This window comes from Homo sapiens, chromosome 15 (assembly GCF_000001405.40).
Source record: "Homo sapiens chromosome 15, GRCh38.p14 Primary Assembly".
Taxonomy (NCBI): Eukaryota; Metazoa; Chordata; class Mammalia; order Primates; family Hominidae; genus Homo; species Homo sapiens.
This window is the reverse complement of record NC_000015.10, coordinates 100,341,976-100,368,684: the sequence shown is the minus strand read 5'-3', so window position 1 is coordinate 100,368,684 and position 26,709 is coordinate 100,341,976. Positions and strand designations below refer to the sequence as shown.

Below are 26,709 nucleotides of genomic sequence, written 5' to 3'. Positions count from 1 at the left end.
GTGAATCCATCTGGTCCTGGACTCTTTGTGGTTGGTAAGCTATTAATTATTGCCTCAATTTCAGAGCCTGTTATTGGTCTATTGAGAGATTCAACTTCTTCCTGGTTTAGTCTTGGGAGGGTGTATGTGTTAAGGAATTTATCCATTTCTTCTAGATTTTCTAGTTTATTTGGGTAGAGGTATTTATAGTATTCTCTGATGGTAGTTTGTATTTCTGTGGGATCGCTGGTGATATCCCCTTTATCATTTTTTATTGCGTCTATTTGATTCTTGTCTCTTTTCTTCTTTATTAGTCTTGCTAGTGGTCTATCAATTTTGTTGATCCTTTCAAAAAACCAGCTCCTGGATTCATTAATTTTTTGAGGGGTTTTTTGTGACTCTATTTCCTTCAGTTCTGCTCTGATTTTAGTTATTTCTTGCCTTCTGCTAGCTTTTGAAATGTGTTTGCTCTTGCTTTTCTAGTTCTTTTAATTGTGATGTTAGGGTGTCAATTTTGGATCTTTCCTGCTTTCTCTTGTGGGCATTTAGTGCTATAAATTTCCCTCTACACACTGCTTTGAATGTGTCCCAGAGATTCTGGTATGTTGTGTCTTTGTTCTCGTTGGTTTCAAAGAACATCTTTATTTCTGCCTTCATTTCATTATGTACGCAGTAGTCATTCAGGAGCAGGTTGTTCAGTTTCCATGTAGTTGAGCAGTTTTAAGTGAGTTTCTTAATCCTGAGTTCTAGTTTGATTGCACTGTGGTCTGAGAGACAGTTTGTTATAATTTCTGTTCTTTTACATTTGATGAGGAGTGCTTTACTTCCAACTATGTGGTCAATTTTGGAATAGGTGTGGTGTGGTGCTGAAAAAAATGTATATTCTGTTGATTTGGGGTGGAGAGTTCTGTAGATGTCTATTAGGTCTGCTTGGTGCAGAGCTGAGTTCAATTCCTGGGTATCCTTGTTAACTTTCTGACTCGTTGATCTGTCTAATGTTGACAGTGGGGTGTTAAAGTCTCCCATTATTATTGTGTGGGAGTCTAAGTCTCTTTGTAGGTCACTCAGGACTTGCTTTATGAATCTGGGTGCTCCTGTATTGGGTGCATATATATTTAGGATAGTTAGCTCTTCTTGTTGAATTGATCCCTTTACCATTATGTAATGGCCTTCTTTGTCTCTTTTGATCTTTGTTGGTTTAAAGTCTGTTTTATCAGAGACTAGGATTGCAACCCCTGCCTTTTTTTGTTTTCCATTGGCTTGGTAGATCTTCCTCCATCCTTTTATTTTGAGCCTATGTGTGTCTCTGCACGTGAGATGGGTTTCCTGAATACAGCACACTGATGGGTCTTGACTCTTTATCCAATTTGCCAGTCTGTGTCTTTTAATTGGAGCATTTAGTCCATTTACATTTAAAGTTAATATTGTTATTTGTGAATTTGATCCTGCCATTGTGATGTTAGCTGGTTATTTTGCTCGTTAGTTGATGCAGTTTCTTCCTAGCCTCGATGGTCTTTACAATTTGGCACGATTTTGCAGTGGCTGGTACTGGTTGTTCCTTTCCATGTTTAGTGCTTCCTTCAGGAGTTTTTTTAGGGTAGGCCTGGTGGTGACGAAATCTCTCAGCATTTGCTTGTCTGTAAAGTATTTTATTTCTCCTTCACTTACGAAGCTTAGTTTGGCTGGATATGAAATTCTGGGTTGAAAATTCTTTTCTTTAAGAATGTTGAATATTGGCCCCCACTCTCTTCTGGCTTGTAGAGTTTCTGCCGAGAGATCCGCTGTTAGTCTGATGGGCTTCCCTTTGTGGGGAACCCGACCTTTCTCTCTGGCTGCCCTTAACATTTTTTCCTTGATTTCAACTTTGGTGAATCTGACAATTATGTGTCTTGGAGTTGCTCTTCTCGAGGAGTATCTTTGTGGCGTTCTCTGTATTTCCTGAATCTGAATGTTGGCCTGCCTTGCTAAATTGGGGAAGTTCTCCTAGATAATATCCTGCAGAGTGTTTTCCAACTTGGTTCCATTCTCCTCGTCACTTTGAGGTACACCAGTCAGACGTAGATTTGGTCTTTTCACATAGTCCCATATTTCTTGGAGGCTTTGTTTGTTTGTTTTTATTCTTCTTTCTCTAAACTTCCCTTCTCGCTTCATTTCATTCATTTCATCTTCCATCACTGATACCCTTTCTTCTAGTTGATCGCATCGGCTCCTGAGGCTTCTGCATTCTTCACGTAGTTCTCGAGCCTTGGCTTTCAGCTCCATCAGCTCCTTTAAGCCCTTCTCTGTATTGGTCATTCTAGTTATACATTCATCTAAATTTTTTTCAAAGTTTTTAACTTCTTCGCCTTTGGTTTGAATTTCCTCCTGTAGCTCGGAGTAGCTTGATCGTCTGAAGCCTTCTTCTCTCAACTCGTCAAAGTCATTCTCTGTCCACCTTTGTTCTGTTGCTGGTGAGGAGCTGCGTTCCTTTGAAGGAGGAGAGGCGCTCTGCTTTTTAGAGTTTCCAGTTTGTCTGCTCTGTTTTTTCCCCATCTTTGTGGTTTTATCTACTTTTGGTCTTTGATGATGGTGATGTACAAATGGGTTTTTGGTGTGGATGTCCTTTCTGTTTGTTAGTTTTCCTTCTAACAGACAGGACCCTCAGCTGCAGGTCTGTTGGAGTACTGGGCCCTGTGAGGTGTCAGTGTGCCCCTGCTGGGGGGTGCCTCCCTGTTAGGCTGCTCAGGGGTCAGGGGTCAGGGACCCACTTGAGGAGGCAGTCTGCCCGTTCTCAGATCTCCAGCTGTGTGCTGGGAGAACCACTGCTCTCTTCAAAGCTGTCAGACAGGGACATTTAAGTCTGCAGAGGTTACTGCTGTCTTTTTGTTTGGCTGTGCCCTGCCCCCATAGGTGGAGCCTACAGAGACAGGCAGGCCTCCTTGGGCTGTGGTGGGCTCCACCCAGTTCGAGCTTTAGGCTGCTTTGTTTACCTAAGTAAGCCTGGGCAATGGCGGGCGCCCCTCCCCCAGCCTCGCTGCTGCCTTGCAGTTTGATCTCAGACTGCTGTGCTAGCAATCAGTGTGACTCCGTGGGTGTGGGACCCTCCGAGCCATGCGCAGGATATAATCTCCTGGTGTGCCGTTTTTTAAGCCCGTCGGAAAAGCGCAGTATTAGGGTGGGAGTGACCCGATTTTCCAGGTGCCGTCTGTCACCCCTTTCTGTGACTAGGAAAGGGAACTCCCTGACCCCTTGCACTTCCCGAGGGAGGCAATGCCTGGCCCTGCTTCAGCTCGTGCATGGTGCGCTACACCCACTGTCCTGCACACACTGTCTGGCACTCCCTAGTGAGATGAACCCGGTACCTCAGATGGAAATGCAGAAATCACCCCTCTTTTGCGTCGCTCACACTGGGAGCTGTAGACCGGAGCTGTTCCTATTCAGCCATCTTGGCTGCGCTCCCCTATCTTTTTCAGTAATATGTATATTCGAATCTTTTGCCCTTTTCAAAAAATTGGGCTATGTGTTTCCTTATGTGTTTGTTGTGTGTGTGTGTTTTATTGTGGTAAAATATACATATCATGAAATTTACCATTTTAGCCATTTTTAAGTATACAGTTTAGTAGCATTAAGTACATTCACATTGCTGTGTAGCCATCACCACTATTTCCAAACTTTTTCATTATCCTAAACAGAAACTCCATACACCCTTTAAGCAATAACTCTCCATTCTCCTCTCTCCTCAACAGCTGATAACCTCTCTTCCATATGTTGGGTAATTCTATGTTTAGTTTTCTTCCTTTCTTTTTTTTAAAAAATAATTTTCTCCCAGTCTGTGGCTTGTGTTTGCATTCTCTTTTTTAAAAAATTCAATTTATTTTTATTTCAATAAGTTTTGGGGAAACAGGTAGTGTTTGGTTACATGAATAAGTTCTTTAGTGGTGATTTCTGAAATTTTGGTGCACCCATCACTGTGTACACTGTACTCAAGGTGTAGCCTTTTACCCCTCACCCCCTCCCACCCTTTCCCCAAAGTCCCCAAGGTCCATTGTATCATTCTTATGCCTTTGCATCCTCTTAGCTTAGCTCTCACTTATGAGTGAGAATATACAATGTTCAGTTTTCCATTCCTGAGTTACTTCACTTAGAATGATGGTCCCCAATTCCATCCAGGTTGCTGCAAATGCCATTATTTTGTTCCTTTTTATGACTGAGTAGTATTCCATGGCATGCATATATATACACCAAATATTTTTAAAATTTTTTTATTATACTTTAAGTTCTGGGATACATGAGCAGAACGTGTAGGTTTGTTACATAGGTATACACGTACTATGGTGGTTTGCTGTACCCATCAACCCATCATCTACATTAGGTATTTCTCCTGATGCTATCCCTCCCCTAGCCCCCCCATCCCCTGACAGGCCCCGGTGTGTGATGTTCCCCTCCCTGTTTCCATGTGTTCTCATTGTTCTACTCCCAGTTATGAGTGAGAACATGTGTGTTTGGTTTTCTGTTCCTGTGTTAGTTTGCTGAGAATGATGGTTTCCAGCTTCATCCATGTCCCTGCAAAGGACATGAACTCATCCTTTTTATGGCTGCATAGTATTCCATGGTGTAAATGTACCACATGTTCTTTATCCAGTCTACCATTGATGGACATTTGTGTGGGTTCCAAGACTTTTGCTTTGAACAGTGCCACAATAAACATAAGTGTGCATGTGTCTTTATAGTAGAATGATTTTTAATCCTTTGGGTATATACTCAGTAGTGGGATTGCTGGGTCAAATGGTATTTCTGGTTCTAGATACTTGAGGAATCGCCACACTGTCTTCCACAACGGTTGAACTAATTTAGCCTCCCACCAACAGTGTAAAAGCATTCCTATTTCTCCACATCCTCTCCAGCATCTATTGTTTCTTGACTTTTTAATGATTTCCATTCTAACTGGCATGAGATGGTATCTCATTGTGGTTTTGATTTGCATTTCTCTAATGACCAGTGATGATGAGCTTTTTTTCATATGTTTTTTGGCTGCATAGATGTCTTCTTTTGAGAAGCATCTGTTCATATCATTTGCCTACTTTTTGATGGGGTTGTTTGGTTTTTTCTTGTAAGTTTGTTTAAGTTCTTTGTAGATTCTGGATGTTAGCCTTTTGTCAGATGAATAGATTGCAAAAATTTTCTCCCATTCTGTAGGTTGCCTGTTCGATCTAATGATGGTTTCTTTTGTGGTGCAGAAGCTCTTTAGCTTAATTAGATCCCATTTGTCAATTTTGGCTTTTGTTGCCATTGCTTTTGGTGTTTTCGTCATGAAGTCTTTGCCCATGCCTGTGTCCTGAATGGTATTGCCTAGGTTTTCTTCTAGGGTTTTTATGGTTTTAGGTCTTACATTTAAGTCTTTAATCCATCTTGAGTTAATATTTGTATAAGATGTAAGGAAGGGATCCAGTTTCAGTTTTCTGCATATGGCTAGCCAGTTTTCCCGACACCATTTATTAAATAGGGAATCCTTTCCCCATTGCTTGTTTTTGTCAGGTTTGTCAAAGATCAGATAGTTGTAGATGTGTGGTGTTATTTCTGAGGGCTCTGTTCTGTTCCATTGTTCTATGTATCTATTTTGGTACCAGTACCACATTGCTTTGGTTACTGTAGCCTTGTAGTATAGTTTGAAGTCAGGTAGTGTGATGCCTCCAGCTTTGTTCTTTTTGCTTAGGATTGTCTTGGCTATATGGGCTCTTTTTTGGTTCCATATGAAATTTAAAGTAGTTTTTTCTAATTCTGTGAAGAAAGTCGATGGTAGTTTGCTAGGGATAGCATTGAATCTATAAATTACTTTGGGCAGTATGGCCATTTTCACAATATTGATTCTTCCTATCCATGAGCAAGGAATGATTTTCCATTTGTTTGTCCTCTCTTATTTCCTTGAGCAGTGGTTTGTAGTTCCCCTTGAAGAGATCCTTCACATCCCATGTAAGTTGTATTCCTAGGTATTTTATTCTCTTTGTAGCAATTTTGAGTGGGAGTTCACTCATGATTTGGCTCTCTGTTGGTCTATAATTGGTGCATAGGAATGCTTATGATTTTTGCAGATTGATTTTGTATCCTGAGACTTTGCTGAAGTTGCTTATCAGCTTAAGGAGATTTTGGGCTGAGATGATAGGGTTCACTAAATATACAATCATGTCATCTGCAAACAGAGACAATTTGACTTCCTCTTTTCCTATTTGAATACGCTTTATTTATTTCTCTTGCCTGATTGCCCTGGCCAGAACTTCCAATTCTGTGTTCAATAGGAATGATGAGAGAGGGCATCCTTGTCTTGTGCCGGTTTTCAAAGGGAATGCTTCCAGTTTTTGCCCATTCAGTAAGATATTGGCTGTGGATTTTTCATAAATAGCTCTTATTATTTTGAGATATGTTCCATCAATACCTAGGTTATTGTGAGTTTTTAGCATGAAGGGGTGTTGAGTTTTGTCGAAGGCCTTTTCTGCATCTATTGAGATAATCGTGTGGTTTTTGTCATTGGTTCTCCTTATGTGATGGATTACATTTATTGATTTGTGTATGTTGAACCAGCCTTGCATCCCAGGGATGAAGCCAACTTGATCGTAGTGAATAAGCTTTTTGATGTGCTGCTGAATTTGGTTTGCCAGTATTTTACCGAGGATTTTTGCATCGATATTCATCAGGGATATTGGCCTGAAATTTTCTCTTTTTGTTGTGTCTCTGCCAGGTTTTGGTATCAGGATGATGCTGGCCTCATAAAATGAGTTAGGGAGGATTCCCTCCTTTTCTATTGTTTAAAATAATTTCAGAAGGAATAGTACCAGCTCCTCTTTGTACCTCTGGTAGAATTCAGCTGTAAATCCATCTGGTCCTGGGCCCTTTTTGGTTGGTAGACTATTAACTACTGCCTCTATTTCAGAATTTATTATTGGTCTATTCAGGGATTCGACTTCTTGCTTATTTAGACTTGGGAGGGTGTATGTGTCCAGGAGTTTATCCATTTCTCTTAGATTTTCTAGTTTATTTGCATACAGGTGTTTTCAGTATTCTCTGATGGTAGTTTGTATTTCTGTGGGATCAGTATACCACATTTTCTTTAAACACTCATTGATTAATGGGCATTTGGGCTGGTTCCATGTTTGTTTGTTTGTTTGTTTGTTTTTGAGGTGGAGTCTTGCTCTGTTGCCCAGGCTGGAGTGCAGTGGCATGATCTTAGCTCACTGCAAGCTCCACCTCCGAGGTTCACACCATTCTCCTTCCTCAGCCTCCCCGGTAGCTGGGACTACAGGCACCTGCCACCACACTTGGCTAATTTTTTTTTCTATTTTTTAGTAGAAATGGGGTTTCACCATGTTAGCCAGGATGGTCTCGATCTCCTGACCTTGTGATCTGCCCGCCTTGGCCTCCCAAAGTGCTGGGAGGTTCCATGTTTTTGCAATTGCAAATTGTTCTGCTATAAACATGCGTATGCAAGTATCTTTTTAGCATAATGACTTCTTTTCCTCTGGGTAGATACCCAGGAGTGGGATTGCTGGATCAAATTATAGATCTCCTTTTAGTTCTTTAAGGAATCTCCACACTGATTTTCACAGTGGCTATCCTAGTTTACATTCCCACCAACAGTGTAAAAGTGTTTCCTTTTTACCACATCCATGCCATCTATTATTTTTTGATTTTTTGACTATGGCCATTCTTGCAGGAGCAAGGTGGTATCACATTTTGGTTTTGATTTGCATTTCCCTGATATTTAGTGATGTTGAGCATTTTTCCATATGCTTGTTGGCCATTTGTATATCTTCTTTTGAGAATTGGTCTATCGTGTCCTTAGCCCACTTTTTGACGGGATTGTTTTATTCTTGCTGAGTTGTTGGAGTTCTTTGTAGATTCTAGATATTAGTCCTTTGTCAGATGTATAGGTTCTGAAGATTTTCTCCCACTGTGTGGGTTGTCTGTTAAGTCTGCTGATTATTTCTTTTGCTGTGCAGAAGCTTTTTAATTTAATTAAGTCCCATATATTTGTCTTTGTTTTTGTTGCATTTGCTTTTGGGTTCTTGGGCATGTAGTATTTGCCTAAGATAATGTCTAGAAGCGTTTTTCCAGTGTTATCTTCTAGATTTTTATGTTTTCTGGTCTTAATTTAAGCCTTTGATCCATCTTGAGTTGATTTTTATTATTAGGTGAGAGACGAGGATCCAGTTTCATTCTTCTACATGTGGCTAGCCAATTCTCCCAGCACCATTTGTTGAATAGGGTGTCCTTTCCCCATTTTATGTTTTTGTTTGCTTTGCCAAAGATCAGTTGACTGTAAGTATTTGGCTTTATTTTTGGGTCCTCTATGCTGTTCCATAGGTCTGTGTGCCTAGTTTTATACCAGTATCATGTTGTTTTGGTGACTATGGCCTTATAGTTTGAAGTCAGGTAATGTGATGCCTCCACATTTGCTTAGTCTTGCTTGGGCTATGCAGGCTCTTTTTTGGTTCCATATGAATTTTAGGATTGTTTTTCTAGTTCTATGAAGAATGATCGTGGTATTTTGATGGGAATTGCATTGAATTTGTAGATTGCTTTTGGCAGTATGGCCATTTTCACAATATTGATTCTACCTATCCATGAGCATGGGATGTGTTTCCATGTTTATGTCATCTATGATTTCTTTCAGCAGTGTTTTGTAGTTTTCCTTGTAGAGGTCTTTCACATACTTGGTTAGGTATATTCCTAAGTATTTTATTTTATTTTTTGCAGCTATTGTAAAGGGGGTTGAGTTCTTGATTTGATTCTCAGCTTGGTCGCTGTTTGTGTATAGCAGAGCTACTGATTTGTGTACATTAATTTGTATCCTGAAACTTTGCTGAATGCATTTACCAGTTCTACGAGTTTCTTGGATGAGTCTTTAGGGTTTTCTATATATATGATCATATCATCAGCAAAGAGTGAGAGTTTGGCATCCTCTTTACCAATTTGGATGCACTCGATTTCTTTCTCTTATCTGATTGCTCTGGCTAGGACTTCCAGTACTCTATTGAATAGAAGTGATGAAAATGGGTATCCCTGTTTTGTTCTTGTTCTCAGGGGGAATGCTTTCAACTTTTCCCCACTCAGTATAATGTTGGCTGTGTGTTTGTCATAGATGGCTTTTATTACCTTAAGGTGTGTCCCTTCTATGCCAATTTTGCTGAGAGTTTTAACCATAAAGAGATGCTGGATCTTGTAAAATGCTTTTTCTGCATCTATTGAGATGATCATTTGATTTTTGTTTTTAATTCTGTTTATGTGGTGTATCACACTTATTGACCTGCAGATGTTAAGCCACCCTTGCATCTCTGGTGTGAAACCCACTTGATCATGGTGGATTATCTTTTTGATATGCTGTTGTATTTGGTTAGCTAGTATTTTATTGAGGATTTTTGCATCTGTGTTCATCAGGGATGTTGGTATATAGTTTTCTTTTTTTGTTATGTCCTTCTCTGGTTTTGATATTAGGGTTATAATGGTATCATAGAATGATTTAGTGAGGATTCTCTCTCTCTCTCTCTGTCTCTCTCTGTCTCTCTCTCCCCTGTGGAATAGTGTCAACAGGATTGGCATCAGTTCTTCTTTGAATGTCTGATAGAATTCAGCTGTGAATCTGTCTGGTCCTGGACTTTTTTGTTGTTGGCATTTTTTTATTACTATTTCAATCTCGCTGCTTGTTATTGGTCTGTTCAGGGTTTCTATATCTTCCTGGTTTAATCTAGGAGGGTTGTATATTTCCAGGAATTTATCCATGTCCTCTGGGTTTTTTAGTTTATGTGTGTGGGCATTCATAGTAGCCTTGAGTAATCTTTTGTATTTCTGTAGTATCAGTAGTAATATTTAACATTTTGTTTCTAATTAAGCTTATTTGGATCTTCTCTCTTCTTTTCTTGGTTAATCTCACTACTGGTCTATCAATTTTATTTATCTTTTTGAAGAACCGGCTTTTTGTTTCAATTATCTTTTGTATTTTTTTGGTTTTAATTTCATTTAGTTCTGCTCTGATTGTCATTATTTCTTTTCTTCTGCTGGGTTTGGTTTTGGATCGTTCTTGTTTCTCCAGTTCCATGAGGTGTGACCATAGATTGTCTATTTGTGCTCTTTCAGACTTTTTTATATAAGCATTTAATGTTGTGAACTTTCTTCTTAGCACTGCTTTTGCTGTATCCCAGAAATTTTGATAGGTTGTGCAACTATTATCATTCAGTTCAAAAAATTTTTAAATTTCCATCTTGATTTCATTGTTGACCCAACAATCATTCAGGAGCAGGTTATTTAATTTCCATGTATTTGCCTGGTTTTGATGGTTCCTTTTGGAGCTGATTTCTAATTTTATTCCACTGTGGTGTGAGAGAGTACTTGTTATAATTTCAATTTTCTTAAATTTACTGAGACTTATTTTGTGGCCTATCATATGGTCTATCTTGGAGAATGTTCCATGTGCTGATAATAGAATGTATATTCTGCAGTTGTTGGGTAGAATGTTCTGTAAATATCTGTTAAGTCCATTTGTTGTAGGGTATAGTTTAAGTCCATTGTTCTTTGTTGACTTTCTGTCTTGATGACCTGTCTAGTGCTGTCAGTGGAGTACTGAAATCTCCCACTATTATTGTGTTGCTCTCTATCTCATTTCTTAGGTCTAGTAGTAATTGCTTTATAAATTTGGGAGCTCCAATATTAGGTGCATATATATTTAGGATTGTTATATTTTTCTGTTGGACTAGTCCTGTTATCATTACATAATGTCTCTCTTTGTCTTTTTTTTTAAAGTTTTTCCTTTTTTTATTGTTATACTTTAAGTTCTGGGGTACATGTGCACAACGTGCAGGTTTGTTACATAGGTATACATGTGCCATGTTGGTTTGTTGCACCCATCAACTCGTCATTTACATTAGGTATTTCTCCTAATGCTATTCCTCCCCCAGCCCTCCACCCACTGACAGGCCCTGGTGTGTGATGTTCCCCTCCCTGTGTCTATGTGTTCTCATTGTTCAGCTCCCACTTATGGGTGAGAACATGCGGTGTTTGGTTTCCTCTTCTTGTGTTACTTTGCTGAGAATGACGGTTTCCAGTTTCATCCATGTCCCTGCAAACAACATGAACTCATCCTTTTTTAAAATGGCTGCATAGTATCCCATGGTGCATGTGTGCCACATTTTCTTTATCCAGTCTATCATTGATGGGCATTTGGGTTGGTTCCAAGACTTAACTGCTTTTGCTTTAAAGTTTGTTTTGTCTGATATAAGAATAGCTACTTCTGCTCACTTTTGGTGTCCTTTGCATGGACTATCTTTTTCCACCCTTTTACCTTAAGTTTATGTGAGTCCTTATGTGTTAGGTGAGTCTCCTGAGGATAGCAGAAACTTGGTTGGTGAATTCTTATCCATTCTGCCATTCTGTATATTTTAAGTGGAGCATTTAAGCCATTTACATTCAACATTAGTTTTGAGATGTGACACACTATTCTATTCATTGTGCTACTTATTGCCTGAATACCTTGTTTTTTTTTTTTCATTGTGTTATTGTTTGATAGGTCTTGTGAGACATATGCTTTAAGGAGGGTCTATTTTGGTGTATTTTGAGGATTTGTTTCAAGATTTAGAGCTCCTTTTAGCAGTTCTTGAAGTGCTGGCTTGGTAGTGGTGAGTTCTCTCAGCATTTGTTTGTCTGGAAAATACTGCATCTTTCTTTCATTTATGAAGCTTAGTTTCACTGGATACAAAATTCTTGATTGATAATTGTTTTGTTTAAGGAGGCTAAAAATAGGACACCAATCCCTTCTCACTTGTAGGGTTTCTGCTGAGAAGTTTGCTGTTACTCTGTTTTCCTTTATAGTTACCTGATACTTTCGCCTCACAGCTCTTAAGATTTGTTCCTTCATCTTGACTTTAGATAACCGGATGCATATGTGCCTAGGCGATGATCTTTTTGCGATGAATTTCCCAGATGTTCTTTGAGCTTCTTGATTTTGAATGTCTAGATCTTTAGCAAGGCCAGGGAAGTTTTCCTCAAGTATTCCCTCAAATATGTTTTCCAAACTTTTAGATTTCTCTTCTTCCTGGGGAACACCAATTATTCTCAGGTTTGGATGTTTAACATAGTCCTAAACTTTGTGGAGGCTTTGTTCATTTTTTTTTTTTTTCGAGATGGAGTCTTGATCTTTAGTCCAGGTTGGAGTGCAATGGCACGATCTCGGCTCACTGCAGCCTCTGCCTCCTGGGTTCAAGTGGTTCTTCTGTCTCAGCCTCCCGAGTAGCTGGGATACAGGCACGCGCCACCTCGCCCAGCAAATTTTTGTATTTTTAGTAGAGATGGAGTTTCACCATGTTGGCCAGGCTGGTCTCGAACTCCTGACCTCAGGTGATCTGCCCACCTCCGCCTCCCAAAGTGTTAGGATTACAGGCATGAGCCACCATGCCCGGCTGGCTTTGTTCATTTGTTAAAATTCTTTTATCTTTGTCTTTGATGGATTGGGTTAATTAGAAAGTCTTGTCTTCAAGCTCTGAAGTTCTTTCTTCTGCTTGTTCGGTTCTATTGCTGAGACTTTCCAGTGCATTTTGCATTTCTCTAAGTGTGTCCTTGATTTCCAGAAGTTGTGATTGTTTTTTGTTTATGCTATTTCTTTCACTGAAGATTTTTCCTTTCATATCCAGTATCATGTTTTGGTTTCTTTACATTGGACTTTACCTTTCTCTGGTGCGTCCTTGATTAGCTTAATAATTCTTCTGAATTCTTTTTCTGGGAATTTAGAAGTTTCATCTTGGTGTGGATCCATTGCTGGTGAGCTAGTGTGATCTTTGGGGCTGCGAAAGAACCTTGTTTTGTCATATTACCAGAATTGTTTTTCTGGTTTCTTCTCATTTGGGTAGACTATGTCAGAGGGAAGATCTGGGACTCCAGGGCTGCTGTTCAGATTCTTTTGTCCCACTAGGTGCTCCCTTTATGTGGTTTTCTCCCTCTTCCCCTAGGAATAGGGCTTCCTGAGAGCTGAACTGCAGTGATTGCTTTTGCCCTTCTGAGTCTAGCCACTCAGTGGAGCTACCAGTCTCTGGGCTGGTACTAGGGAGTGTCTGCAAAGAGTCCTATGATGTGATCTGTCTTCAGGTCTTTCAGCTGTGGATACCAGCACCTGCTCCGGTGGAGGGAGCAGGGGAGTGCAGTGGACTCTGAAGATCCTTGGTTGTGTTTTTGTTTAATGCGCTGGTTTTGTGTGGTTGGCCTCCAGCCAGGAGGTGGTGTTTTCAGGAGTGCATCAGCTACAGGTTGAATAGGGAGGAGGAAAACTTGCCCCAGGGTTACATGGTTAAGTATTCCTAATTTTCTTTCTTTCTTTAATGTTTCTCTGCAATATTTTATAGTTTTCAATATACAGGTCTTTCACATCCTTTGTCAGACTTATCCCTAAGTATTTTATGCTACTGTTTTTATGCTATTTTATGTCATTGTTAATAATATTGTTTTTAAATTCTAATGTTTATTCATTGCTAGTATATAGAAATACAATTGAAATTTGTATATTGATCTTATATCCTACAGTCTTGCTGAACTTACTATTAGTCTTAGTAAATTTTTGTGTGGATTTTCTGTGAAGATGATCCCGATGTCTGTGAATAAAGGCAATTTTACTTCTTCCTTTCCAATCTGGATTCCTTTCACTTATTTTTCTTGCCTGACTACATCAGCTAGAATTTCCTGTACAGCGTTGAAAAGAGATGGTGAGAGCCAACACCCTTGTCTTGTTCCTGACTTTAGGGGAAAAGCGTTTCAGTCTTTCACCATTAAGTATGATGTTATCTGTAGGTTTTTTCATAGATGTCCTTTATCAGGTTGAGGAAGGTCTCTTCTGCTGTTAGTTGGCTGAGAGCTTTTTTTTTTTTTAATCAGGAACGGATGTTGGATGTTATCAAAGGCTTTTTCATGTCTTCTGACATGACCATATGATTTTTCCTTTATAGTCTGTTAATATTGAGAATTCCAATGATTGATTTTAGAATATCAGACAAACACTTTCTTTGTGATCACTCGAGCTCTGTGTATTTCCGATACTAGCAACCAAGGATTTTGGACAAATACAATCTAGTTATTGAGATCTGATCATAGTTTCTCTGCCCAGCTTTATATTTCAAAGCTTAATTGATTTTGGAAGAAAGTTCTAGGCGACATATGTAAGAAAGGGGAGAAACCCATAAACTGCTGGTGATGTGGAAAGTATTTCTTACCAAGTACTTGCTATGTGTCAAGTGGCTTAGGGGTTGGGTGCGAAAATACACACTCCTGAGATGTGGTGCCCAGACAGGGGCTGTTGCAAAGAGACCCCAGGACCCCAGGGTTATTTAAAGAACAGAGCCTTCCACACCCCTTCCCTCTCTCGATAGCAGGGCACACCTTTACATCTGGACTTCTGTTGCTGTTATTATTGTTTTTAATCAAACCTGCATAAACCTGGTGAATCGAAGTTACTTCAGAGAAGAATGACAGTCAGTGAATCCAGAGAGAGATGGGTTTGATGCTTTCTTTTCTCTGGCCACGTGACAGTTCATGGAGTCTTCAGAAATTTCTAATCTTATCAAATTGTTTTCTTTACTTAGTCATTTATTCAGTAAACATAACCAAGTGTGTATAATGTGCCAGCACTCTCCTAGGCCCTTGTCTCTGTTTCCAAGAATTGTTTGAATTGCTGCATTACAAGTTCAAGCATAACTGGGAGGTAATCTAGCACAACTCCTCATTTCACAGATGAGAAAACTGAGAATCTGAGAAGAGAAAAACATTGCCCTAGACTCTGCAGTCAGAGAATCACTACAACCACCACGTGATCCATTCACAGGTGAGTTGGATTTCCCTTTTTCTTCCCATGTCCCCCCTTAATGATAGAGGGCATGGCTCTGGTGTCCCAGGGTTTGAGTCAAATTCCTCTTCCACAAATGACCATCTGTGCAACCTTGATGAACACAGTGCTTACTTCTGGCGCTATTGCCCTGAGTATAGAATGTGGTTAATAATAACGCCTATGTCAAAGGGTTGTGGTGAGGCCACTGGTTCTTGCCTACTTCCTCCTGCTTCTAGCTTTCTGATGCATACATAGGTGGTCACCATGTCCCACAGAGAAAGAAACAGGAACCATGCTCACGCATTAAATCCTTGTGACCCAGTGGGAAATTTTGTATCTTTGTTGACATTACATTTTTATCTATAAAGTGAGATTCTTCATGAGACATCTGTGAGACATAGTCAATATTTTAAGATTTTATAACTCTCAAAGATATAACTTATTGAGTCATCTTGGGCAAGTCATTAGCATTTCTCAGCTCACTTTTCCCACTTATTAGTGAAGGATAATAATTTTTTCCTGGCAGAATTATTTTAAGAATTAAATACTTACTTGTGTATGTTATGTTATACAAATGCCATCCTAGTTGTAAAAACAAAGATAATACGTATATTAAAGGAAGAACCATTCTGGAATCTGGAATTTAAAAAATATTTATTAATTTTTTAAAGTAATACATTCAATAGTTAAAGAAAATGATATAGAAGTTCCTAAAGTGTGAAATAATGACACCTTGCCCAAATCTTTCTACCCTAGACTCACTGCTGAAAGCAATCCTTTTAACTATTTCTGGTTTTAATTTTTCTGATCATTTTCTTCATACCATTAAAATTGTTCTTAATTTTTTTATATGTCAAGACTAGATATGGCAAGTGATGTATTACAATGATGGATAAGGATTTACCTCACTTTTTATCACATTCCCATCCCAATATGAGACTTTTATTTCTTTTATTAATTACCTTTGTGAATTCAAAGTATACATGTATATCTTTACTTCTTATTTTATCAACTATAGGCAATATCTTTCTCTTCACTTTGGAAGATGAGGGAACTTGCCCCCTATACGTTTCTTTGTTTCTTTTTAACTTCCATCTCTTCTCCTTTGTTATCTACTCTTTTACTTTGACATTGTTATGGATGACAACTTTTACAATTGATTCTGCAGCCGGGATGATATATTCTGCTATTTCTTTTTGGTTGATTCTAAAAGTTGAAAATCATTGCACAGTGTTTACATTATGATTTTGATATAATTATTATATAAGTCTTTTCTGAAGTTAAGCATGTATCATGACTATATTTCCCTTTGTTGTGGGATATTTTGGCCCTTTTTTTCTTTCCTTCTGTCTTTTGTGTGTGTGTGTTTCTGTTTAGCTTCTGGACACTGGGACTTCCATTTCCTCTCTGATGGTGTCAGCAACACAATGCAAGCACCACATTCATTGTTTCCTAGGGAAGCTAAACAGTTCCATTCCTGGACCTATACCATGGGTGGGTAGAGAGGCTGCACACAGGGACCAACTAGCCATCTGGCTGCTCTTGCAGATGTACTTACCCTGCTCAGCCTACAGGTTGCTTTTGGGTGCCCTAAATTTTTTATAGCCACTTCTTGCACACCTCCATTAGATGAATGCTTTCATATAAATCTTTAACATGCCTTAGAATTAATTTTAGTTTGTGTTATGACTCTGTAGTTGTTAGCTATTGCTGCATAACAAATTAGTCCAAAACTTAGTGACTCAAAACACTAATAATAATTTATTTTCTCTTGTTTTTTTAACGGTCTGGAATTCAGCCAGGGTGGACACAGTGGGAAGGGCTTGTCTCTACTCATGGTGTTTGGGGCAGACTCAAAGGCTGGGGGCTGAAATCATCGGAAGGCCTGACTGAGGGTAGAGGATCTGCTTCCAAAATGACTCACTCACATGACAAATTAGTTGGTTCTGGCAAGTTGGCCTCCTTTCCAAGAAGTGCCTCTCCACACATGTGCTTCTCTGCAGGGTTGCTTGAGTGTCCTCATGACATGGCTGGTGGTTCCCAAAAAAGCAAGTGATCCAAGAGCAACATTCAGGAATAAGTTCAATCCTTTCTATGACCTAGCCTCAGAACTCACAAAGCATCACTCTCAATACGCCCTATTCATCAGAAGCCAGGCAGTAATTCCAGCACACTTTCTAGGCAGAGGAATTAGGTACACCTGTTGAAGGGAAGCAGGTCATAATTAGAGGATATATTTTTGAACCACCACAGAATCTAACTTAGGTTCGTACAAATATATAAACAGCTGTCCAATACCACATATTGAATAGTCTATCATTACTATATCAGTCTGAGCCATGACTATTTGCATTTACTAAGAATGTGTGTTATTACCATTGAAGACCTTCCAGTGGGACAAGATGTGAAAGCAGAAGACAGTGGTATTGATGATCCTGACCCTGTATAGGCCTAGGCTAATGTGTGTTTGTGTCTTAATATTTGACAAAAAGTTTAAAATGTAAAAAATAAACAACTTCAAAAGTAGGAAAAAAGCTTATAGAATAAGGATATGAAGAATGAAAATATTTTTGTATAGCTGTACAATGTGTTTGTGTATTCAAGCTGTTATTAAAAGAGTCAAAAAATTTAAAAATTCTTAAGGTAGAAAAGTTACAGTAAGCTAAAGTGAATATATTATTGAAGGAAAGAAAATTTTTAAAAATAAATTGAGTGTGGGCCTAGTGTACAGGGTTTTAAAGTCTACAGTAGTGTACAGTAATGTCCTAGGCCTTCGTATTTACTCACCACTCACTTACTGACTCACCCAGAGCAACTTTCAGTCCCGTAAGCTCCAAGCTTACGGTAGGTGCCCTAGGCAGGTGCACCAGTTTCAATCTTTCATACCATATTTTTACTGTATCTTTTCTATGTTTAGATACACAAATACTTACCATTGTGTTACAGTTGCCTACAGTGTTCAGTACCACACTGTACAGGTTTGTAGTCTAGAAGCACAGCCTACAGCCTGGGTGTGTAGTAGGCTGTGCTGTTTAGGTTTGGGTAAGTACACTCTATATTGTTTGCACAATGATGCAATTGCCTGACGATGCATTTCTCAGAACGTCTGCTCACTGTTACGCAACGGAGGACTGTGAATTGGGAGTTTATTTTGTTTTTCAGTCTGTACTGGCAGCGAATCATACATAGCTTAGTTTATCAGACAAGCTGCTTTTCTTGAGCAAAGAAAGAACTAGGAGAGAAACGGGGCTTTGGAACCCTGATGCGGCAATGCTGAAAGAGGAGAAATATCCCAAGGAAGGGAAAGGTGTGTTGCAGAACGATGAAAAATAGGCGGCTTCTCACAGCTGTTCTCAGGGGACGAGACGGGGTGGGATGCAGCTCCGCCGGTGCCTAACACTAAGGGCCCTCATCCTGCCGATTCAGTTGTGTCGGGACCGCCAGTGCTGTCTCCTCGTCAGATGCTGCTTCTGGTCTCCCCGCAGAAGATGCCACTGGAGTTGCCTTTTCAAGGATGGGGACATTTGAAGGCCCTGGACGCTCAGCTCTGAGGCTGGCTGGGATCTCACTAGCACCCCCTGGTGGAGGCCGGAGCCAGGCTGACGCGGGAAAGTGGGGCACGGAAGCGCTGCGGATTGGACCGGCGGCAGCTAGGCCGAAACGCCTGTATTTAAAGGGATAGTAACTCGGACTCGTTCTGCAATATCCCCACAAGGGCCTGACTGAGCGAGCGAGCATGGACGGCCGCGGGGCTTTCTGGACAGTGGCCATTCCCAGAGCCAGGCAGGAAGGCCTCGGGAGGCTGGGGCTCCCGTTCCCGGTGAAGCGGACGCCGCCAGCGCCCCAGAACCCAGGAGGAAGCACACAGGCCCCACAGAGAGTGGTTGGCAAGAGTCACTCGGGGATTAGGATGCCGGCCAAATCGCGGAATTTGAGGCTGGAATCCAAGCTCAACAGGAAAGTAGTGAAATACAAATGGGGAAAACAGGGCTCTGGAGCGGGGAGGGAGCTGGTGCCGGCATTTCCCACCAACGCCGGTTTAGGAAGACGGGACCGATGCCGGCCGCCCCCTGCTGGAGGGGATGTGGCATCTCACGGGCTGCCAGGGAGCGGGGTTGGCTACTCCTGCAACCAGCGTGAAGAGGGTCTCAGGGGAGGCTGTGGTGGGATCCCCCACGTGCCCTTGTTCCTCTCACCGTTACCTCTGGATGCCTCGGGGCAAAGGCCTTCTTCCACCTATAGACAGAGTCTACGCAGGGGTCTTGGAACCCGGGCACACCAGTCCCCAGCTAACGAAATCCCCGAGTTGGGGGATTTGAGAGGGTCACGTTTGGCCCAAGAACCCGCAGTCCTCTTTGGTCTTCGGCCCTCTATTTCTAAGCGTGGGCTTCTGGCACGGCGGCTCTGGGCACAGCCCATGCTGCTTTCGGGCTGGGTGGTTTCAACGACGACAACAATTATCACAGTGACGGTGACCTTCACCCCAACAGGACTGCTGTGTGTGAAGCACTCAAGAGGGCCCCTACAACCAACCTGCCAGGAGTCGGCTCCTGAAAACAGGGTCGGAAAAGGTCAGTGCCCATCAGAATCGAGCTGTCGGCAAAAAGCTGGAGAGGTTAGGAGCTTTGTCTATCTCAAGGGTAACAAACTGCTTTGACCCTGAGGGCTCTGAAGACGACTTTCCCTCACCGCAGCTCTCAAGACAACAGGGATCAGACTCAGAAAGACACTGCCTGTATAAGGCTCTTGTTTGTCTTGTTTTTAATTCCTGCCCTCTGCCTCCAGATCTCAGTCCTCTATCTGTGAAACGGAATTCGGCCTTGCCTGTCCACGAAATGAAGACAAGGCATCTCGTGTGTGTTAAGATGAAACAAGATCTTAGCAAGAGAGTAATGATTTCTTTTTTAAAACATTTTTTACTGTAGTAAAATGTACTATAACGTAAAATTACCATTTCAATCATTTGTAAGTTCAGTGGCATTAAGTACATTCACATTGTCGGGCAGCTGTCAGAGGTGTTCGAACCAGAGCGACTCCATCTTGAACAGGTGCTGCGCAAAATGAGGCTGAGACCTGCTGGGCTGCATTCCCAGGAGGTTAGGCATTCTTCGTCACAGGATGAGTCAGTGGCTGCCAGGGAGGCAGGTTGGTTACCCCAGGAACCAATGAATTGCATCTCAGGGGAGGTTTTGCCAGATACAGGTCACAAAGACCCTGCTGATAAAACAAGATGCGGTAAAGAAGCTGGCCAAAACCTACCAAAACCAGATGGTGACAAAAGCAACCTCTGCTCGTCCTCACTGCTCATTATACACTAATTATAATGTATTAGCATGGCAAAAGACACTCCCGCTAGTGCCATGGCAGCTTACAAATGCCATGACAACATCTACTTAGTTAAATTTGCATACTATGAATATGAGTATGCAAATACCTGTTGGAGTCCCCGCTTTCAAAGCTTTGGGGTACACATCCAGAAACGGAATTGCTGGATCATAGGGTAAATCTATTTTGGAGGAATAGTCGTACTGTTTTCCACAGTGACTGTACCATTTTACATTCCCACAAAATTATTTCTTTCTATCTGCCTTCCCCCACTAGATAGAACACAGGGAAGTTACTTTTTCGTTTCTAAATCCCCAGCACCAGGAACAGTGTCTAGTTCATAACAGAGCTCTATAGAGAACTGTGGGGAAAGAAGTGCAATTTATATGCTGCTGCCTCTTCATTTGGCATCTCAGTACGTGGCACACAGAAAGTAGGCACTGAAGAAGGGTTGAAGGACCTAATGAGTACATAAATGAATGCAGTTACCATTGCTTTTTCCTTGGTCTAGACTGAGGACAGACATTTTTGTAAATTAAGCTACTTAGTTAAATGTAGACCTCTGGCCAGTTTTGCTCATCCAGAAGTTTCACTTTAATGCCACTTCAAAGATACTGTTTTCTGTAAATCAGATCATAATTGTGATGAGAATGATGTGGGGATGTGTCCTGGACTCTCCCCATCCCCCACCTCACAGCCTAATGTATAACGCACATTTTATTCAGGACCATTTTGGATGTGTAGGATCTGCTCCAGAACACAGGATAATGGGCCTCTTTTCTGGGGATGGTGTGGTTCCATCATTAGATAGCAGGTGTGTCATCTGCAGGTACTGGTCTCACTATTCAACCACTGGTTGAAAGATTGGTTCAAGATCAACTCTTTGAAAAATCAAAGTATTACTTTTACAAATGCTTTTTTGATATTTCTCAACCAATTAACCTTGAAAAGTTCACCATGAAGTTGAATTGCCTAAACTTATACATTGTATGGGCACTGAGATGCAATTTTTAGGGCTGTGTGGGCATCAGCGATGCCTGTTTTCAATACATTGTAGCTATGCTCAGTGTCATGGGCCTTGTAGGGCTGACCTCTTTTTGTCCAAGCATTGAAGCCAATCTAAAACTCTTTTCCAAAAAGAAAATGTTTTCTTTGCTAATAAGTCACCATCAACTGCAGCAGAGGCAGCTGTTTGGGCTTCACAATTTGCGGAAGCACATGCCAGCCTGGCTCTGTTTTGTGCTTGTTCACAGTATATGGCTTTGGCCTTGTTCAGCATCAGGGAGTAGCTGTTCCTTGGGTCATGCATGGAGTTGGATTTAACCCTGGCTTTCAGCTGGCCAGTCCTCATCAGGAGCTTGGGCAGGAGAAATAGTACTCTGGTGAATGGTCTGAAGACATTAGATCATAGATGACCTTGGCTGCAAGCAACTAAATCCAGACCACAACAGTTTATCCAAATAGGGTTAACCAAACAAGTACAATGTGTACCCAAATGATATCAGTGTCCCATGATCCTTCCATCATCCACTGGATGATTTCTTAATTCAAAGTCAAACAAAAACAAAAGCAGATTTGAAACATTCTCATCCATCCTTGAAACTGGATCACATGCCATGGTCTCGCTCTTTGAAGTGGTCAACTGAACAGCTGGATACATGGTCTGGAGCTGGGAGGAGGAGTGCCTTAGTCCATTCCTGCTGCTATGACAAAATAGCTTAGACTTGGTAATTTATAAATAATAGACATTTATTTCTCATTGTTCTGGTGGCTGGGAAGTCCAAGGTCAAGGTGCCGGCAGATTCAGTGTCTGGTAAGCTCTCTGTGTCCAGGATGACACCTTGTTGCTGCATCTTCTGAAGAGGACAAATGCTGTGTCCTCATATGGCAGAAGAGATGCAGGGCAAAAGGGCCAAGAAGCCCTCTTGAGCCTCTTTAATGAGGGCATTAATTCCATTCATGAGGGCAGAGCCCTCATGACTTTGGGCCTTAACCCAAAAGGCTCCACCTCTTAATACCAGCACAATGAGGTAAGTTTCACCATGAATTTTGGAGGGACATAAACATTCAAACCGCGGCAAAGAGTCTGGACCAGGGGATGACTCTGTGAAGTGCGTGCTTGTCCACTGCCAAAAGAAAGGGATAAGATGAGGAATGCGAAGCTGAGAAGGGGAGGGTTCGAGATCAGCACTGCATTGAGAGAAAGGGGAGTTGGGCAGAGGAGTGTAGTAGCAATGGTGGGCATGGCGATGGCTCAAATGAAGAAGGTGATTGCAGATTTCCCTGTTGCATGCTTGGCTCCAGTGGTGTTCAGAGCTCAACCACATGCTCAGTGAGAGTAGAGAGTTGAGTTTACCCAGGCCTGTAGTTCTGCATGACAACTGCAGTGAAAAGGGATAGGGGAGGGTGCTGAGCATATTGGCAAGAGTGTTTTCAGAGTCATGGGGCCTGGAATGCAAGCTGGATATGGAGGCAAGTGAAGAGAGGCTGGTGGGTTGGGAGATGCAGACTGAGAGACCTTCTGAGGTAGGAGCATTTGGACGAGCATGCTGGGAGGACAAGAAGCTGTGGTCAGAGGTGGATGTTCAAGTTTTGGAAGGTGGAACAGCTAGGGGTGATGACAAGGTGTAGGGTGTGAATTTGAGAGTGGACAGTTGGGGCAGCATAGCACAGAAGGTCACTGAAGGAGGAAATTGAGGAGCCCAGAGCCCAGGGTGGGGGATGGGAGTTGTCTATATGTGTGTCTGTTAGGGGTCGAGTTTGGCTGCATATAACAGACAACCCAAATAGCAACAGCTTAAAAGAGACAAGAGTATATTTTTTTTCTGATATAGCAAAAAGTGCAGAAGTAGACAGCTCAGGTCTGGCATGGTGACTCCAAGATGTCATCAGCAACCCAGAGTTCATTGATCTTTTTGCTTCCCAGGGGTCTGGCACTCTTCCTCATGCTTACGAGATGGCTGCTGGAATTCCAGGAATCACATGCAAATTCTAGTCAGGAGCAAAGAGGAAGAGACACAGTGAAAAGGGGTATACAGCGGCAGAAGGAAGCTCCTCAAATGAACTCTGCTAGAACTCTAGCCAGTAGCTTCTCCTTCTATCACAGTGGCCAGAACTGTGACAAGTGACCATCCTTAGGGGAAAAAAGATGCTGAGAAATGTGAATTTTGTTGCCACCTTACATTTTCAAAGGAGTTCCATTCGTAAGTACAGAACGCTCAGAGAAGAGGCAGCAGATCTAGGATATGGAGCAGCAGCTCTTAAGGGCACAGTGGGAAGGTTTCAAGACTGAGGAGGATCTTGGATTTGGGTAGGGGAAGGCAGTTCACAGTATTGTGGAGGAAATGCTGTGAAAGAGAAAGTGGAAGGCATGGAAGCTTAAACTTTTAATATGACTGGTGAATACAAGGATGAAGGGCAAAGGGAATTCAGACTCATGGTGGTCAGATTAAGACCTTCAGCGGCTCTGTCTCCCAGCCCCACATACCCACTTCCATGTTCTGCTCTTTACTGAAGCTGAAAGTCTGCAACCTTCATTCTCTGACTCCCTTACATTTTCTTAGGCTTCTTGCTAGCTTCTGCCAAAAAGAGGCCCTGGCAGGAGATTAGATGGCAGGAGGCAGAGGTAAGGATTCCATGTTAACAGGTGCTGGAAGTTGCTGGTGTGGCAATGAGAACTGGGCCCCGGTCAAGGCAGCACTACTTTGGTAGATCCAGAATCAACCATGATAACCGTGACAGTGTCTTCAACAGTGCAGCAGTAGACACAGGCCCCTGGTGCTGGAATCCAATACAGGGACAGGAGCAGCACGGAGTCACGGAACACCGTCTTGCCTTCATGTCACTTTACCATTTCTTCTTTCTCCCTCTTACTCTACCAGCTACCTGTGGAGATGTTGAACCTTTTATCTGTCGCTGTCTGCTTAGGAACAGAAGAAAAGGCAGCTGATTGCTTGACTCAGCTTTCAGCTTGATTTTTTTCCTTTGGCAGAGTGAATTGGGGTCCCAGGTGTTCATTTTCCTTTTGTAGTACCTTTCCTCAGCATGCAATTAATACAAAAAGAACAATAAACCTTAACAAAGTTTGGCTTGTATTATTCCAGACTTTCCTCTTGGATTTTATGTACACTTATCTGAATCCATGCAGATCATGTCATGTGTGTCTGTGTGTTTATACACATTTTTTTTTCGGTGTGCCTCATTCTGCAACTTGATTTTTTAAAAAATTCGATAACTGATCTTGGAGATCTGTCCATGTTGTTACATATATGAGATTTTTGTATTTCCTTTAATTAATGGTGTTCAAGTAGCCGTTTATGTAACGATGAACATTCAGGTTTTTGCAATTTTTTGCTCTTAATAAGGTGCCCTGGTGAACAAACATTCTTGTACATGTGCCAGAGTTTCTCTGGAGTAATTAACCAGCGTGGAATTACAGAGTTGTAGAATGTGTGCATTTTTAGTTTTATTAAAACTAAAAAGTAAAACTTTAATTTTACAGTTTGCCCAATTGTTCCTCAGAGTGGCTGTGCCAATTTATACTCTCCACCCCTAGGTAGGAGAGTGTCCTCTCTAATTCTTGATTTTTCTAAGCTCTTTAATTTTGGTTAGTTGGGAGATAAAATAGTATCTTTCTGTTTTAGTTTTCATGTCCCTATGGACTAATTTTAGCATTTGAGCATCTTGGATAGGTTCTTGATAGGTTGGTGATGGCTACTTCAGGCTGACTTGCGCTTGTGAGGTGGTGTGGCCCATACTCCATGGTTTTCAGTGGCAGGCCTTAGAAATGGCTCTTTTTGACAAAAAGATTCACTAAGAAACTTACTGTGATATCTTTAAAAAAATTAATATTTTGTGAGTACGTAGTAGGTGTATATGTTTACAAAATGTATATACATGAAATTTTTTGATATGGCCATACAATGAGTAATAATCCCATCAGGGTAAATGAGGTGTCCATCACCTCAATCACCAAGGTTTCTTGTGCTGCCAGAAAATGCTACTGAGCTGTCAGTCATCTGAGGTTGTTGACCTGGACAGAGGCAAGGGGGAGAAACACAGCCCCAGGCCTGGCCAAGAGCAGGACCTGTGCAGATGCCCCCAGAACTGTAGGTGCCAAGCAGTGAGGGCAGCCCCTTTTGTGGCAAGCCTCTGTGGAGGGTCACTGTTCAGCCTTGGGGTTCATTATATTTCGGGGAAGGTGGCCAGTGTTATAGATTCCTTCAGATGATATGTAATCCTGTGATGAATTTAGATTCCGAGGCTTCAAGCAGCATCCAGCGGGGAACTATAACCTTTCTGCTATGATAAAATGGAAAAGAGCAGGACAGGGAAGGGACGGGAAACCTGAGATTGGTTATGGTTACACTTAATTGTTTTTTTTGTTTTGTTTGGTTTTGTTTTGTTTTTTTGAGATGGAGTCTTGCTCTGTTGCCCAGGCTGGAGTGCAGTGGCACAATCTCGGCTCACTGCAACCTCCACCCCCCGGGTTCAAGCGATTCTTCTGCCTTAGCCTCCCGAGTAGCTGGGACTACAGGTGTGCGCCATCACGCCTGGCTAATTTTTGTATTTTTAGTAGAGACAGGGTTTCACCATATTGGCCAGGCTAGTCTGGAACCCCTGACTTCGTGACCCGCCCGCCTTGGCCTCCCAAAGTGCTGGGATTACAGGCATGAGCCTCTACAAGATGCTATTCAGCAAGCTAATGGAGTCACCTTCCCTGCAGACCTCAGTTATATTGTGGCAGGAAAGGATCAACTCATTCTGTTTCTGGGAGACTCACGTTCAAGGCTAGGCTTTGGGACTTTGTGCCTCCGTTTCCTAACCTGTAACACTGAGTCCTGCTTCCCTCGGGGCGGGGGGATCCTGCTGTTAATAAGAAGCACCAAGCCAGAAATCAGGATCACAAATTCTAGCCTCTGCTCCAACAGGAACTCTCTGGGTAACTTCAGCGTTTTTCCTTAAGCTCTCTCTCTTCCTCAGTTTTTCAGTCTGTAAGAGGGTGTGAGCATGCGTGTTGCACTGGCTCCTGTGGGATTAAAGAAGACAGGAGGTGTGAAGAGTTTGGATAAACGCCGCGGATATAGCCTTCAGGTGCTAACTCAGGTGTGCGGGAAAGTGGACTGGGAGTCTTTGCGGCCACAAACAACTAAAACCTAACTTCAGATGTAAAGATTATATGCAGTTTTGGATGAAACCGCTTGGCCGGGGCGATTTCCGCCCTACCTTCCCGGGAAACTGGGCAGCAGGCTGAGAGAGTTCCAAAATGAGGACAAGCTCTGAAGACCAGCCCCGCATCCTCCAGCTCTTCCAGGGTCCCACGGCTCCGGTCGGCTCCCGCGCGCCACCTGGTGCCGTGTCCCCGCCACTGCCCAGAAACCACGTGTAAGAAAGCGCTGACAACCTAACTACGCACTGTGGTTTCGACCCATCCCAACCAGTAGGGAAGGAGGAGGCGGGGCGGAGGAAAGCGAGGGCCCAATCCCCTCCCGCCTTCCGAGGGGAAGGCGGGGCTTGGGGTTTACCACGTTGGGTTTGTCCGCAGCGCTAATTACTTTTTCCAAAGGCTGGAGGGCTTC

General features: G+C 41.9%; 2 long non-coding RNA genes across 4 annotated transcripts, besides 1 other annotated feature; one reads left to right on the top strand and one right to left on the bottom strand.

The window, feature by feature from the left end:
• Positions 1 to 16,540: 16,540 nt before the first annotated feature.
• On the bottom strand, positions 16,541 to 19,079 carry LOC105371021 (uncharacterized). Of its 2 annotated transcripts, none has more exons than XR_007064777.1 (3): positions 19,003 to 19,079; positions 17,740 to 18,310; positions 16,541 to 17,006 (listed from the first exon to the last, which is right to left on the bottom strand). It is a non-coding gene; the product is annotated as an uncharacterized LOC105371021 (long non-coding RNA). The 2 variants fall into 2 exon arrangements; XR_007064778.1 differs by having other exon boundaries at positions 19,009 to 19,075.
• SPATA41 (spermatogenesis associated 41) lies at positions 17,967 to 24,228 on the top strand. Of its 2 annotated transcripts, NR_028140.1 has the most exons (3): positions 18,452 to 18,763; positions 19,297 to 19,377; positions 23,058 to 24,228. It is a non-coding gene; the product is annotated as a spermatogenesis associated 41 (long non-coding RNA). The 2 variants fall into 2 exon arrangements; NR_028139.1 differs by having other exon boundaries at positions 17,967 to 19,951.
• Positions 18,540 to 18,799: an enhancer, noted in NCBI's record as "active region_10167". NCBI's record gives its function as "activates an Ori minimal core promoter by ATAC-STARR-seq in GM12878 lymphoblastoid cells {active_cell/tissue: GM12878}" and the evidence as "EXISTENCE:reporter gene assay evidence [ECO:0000049][PMID:35858748]".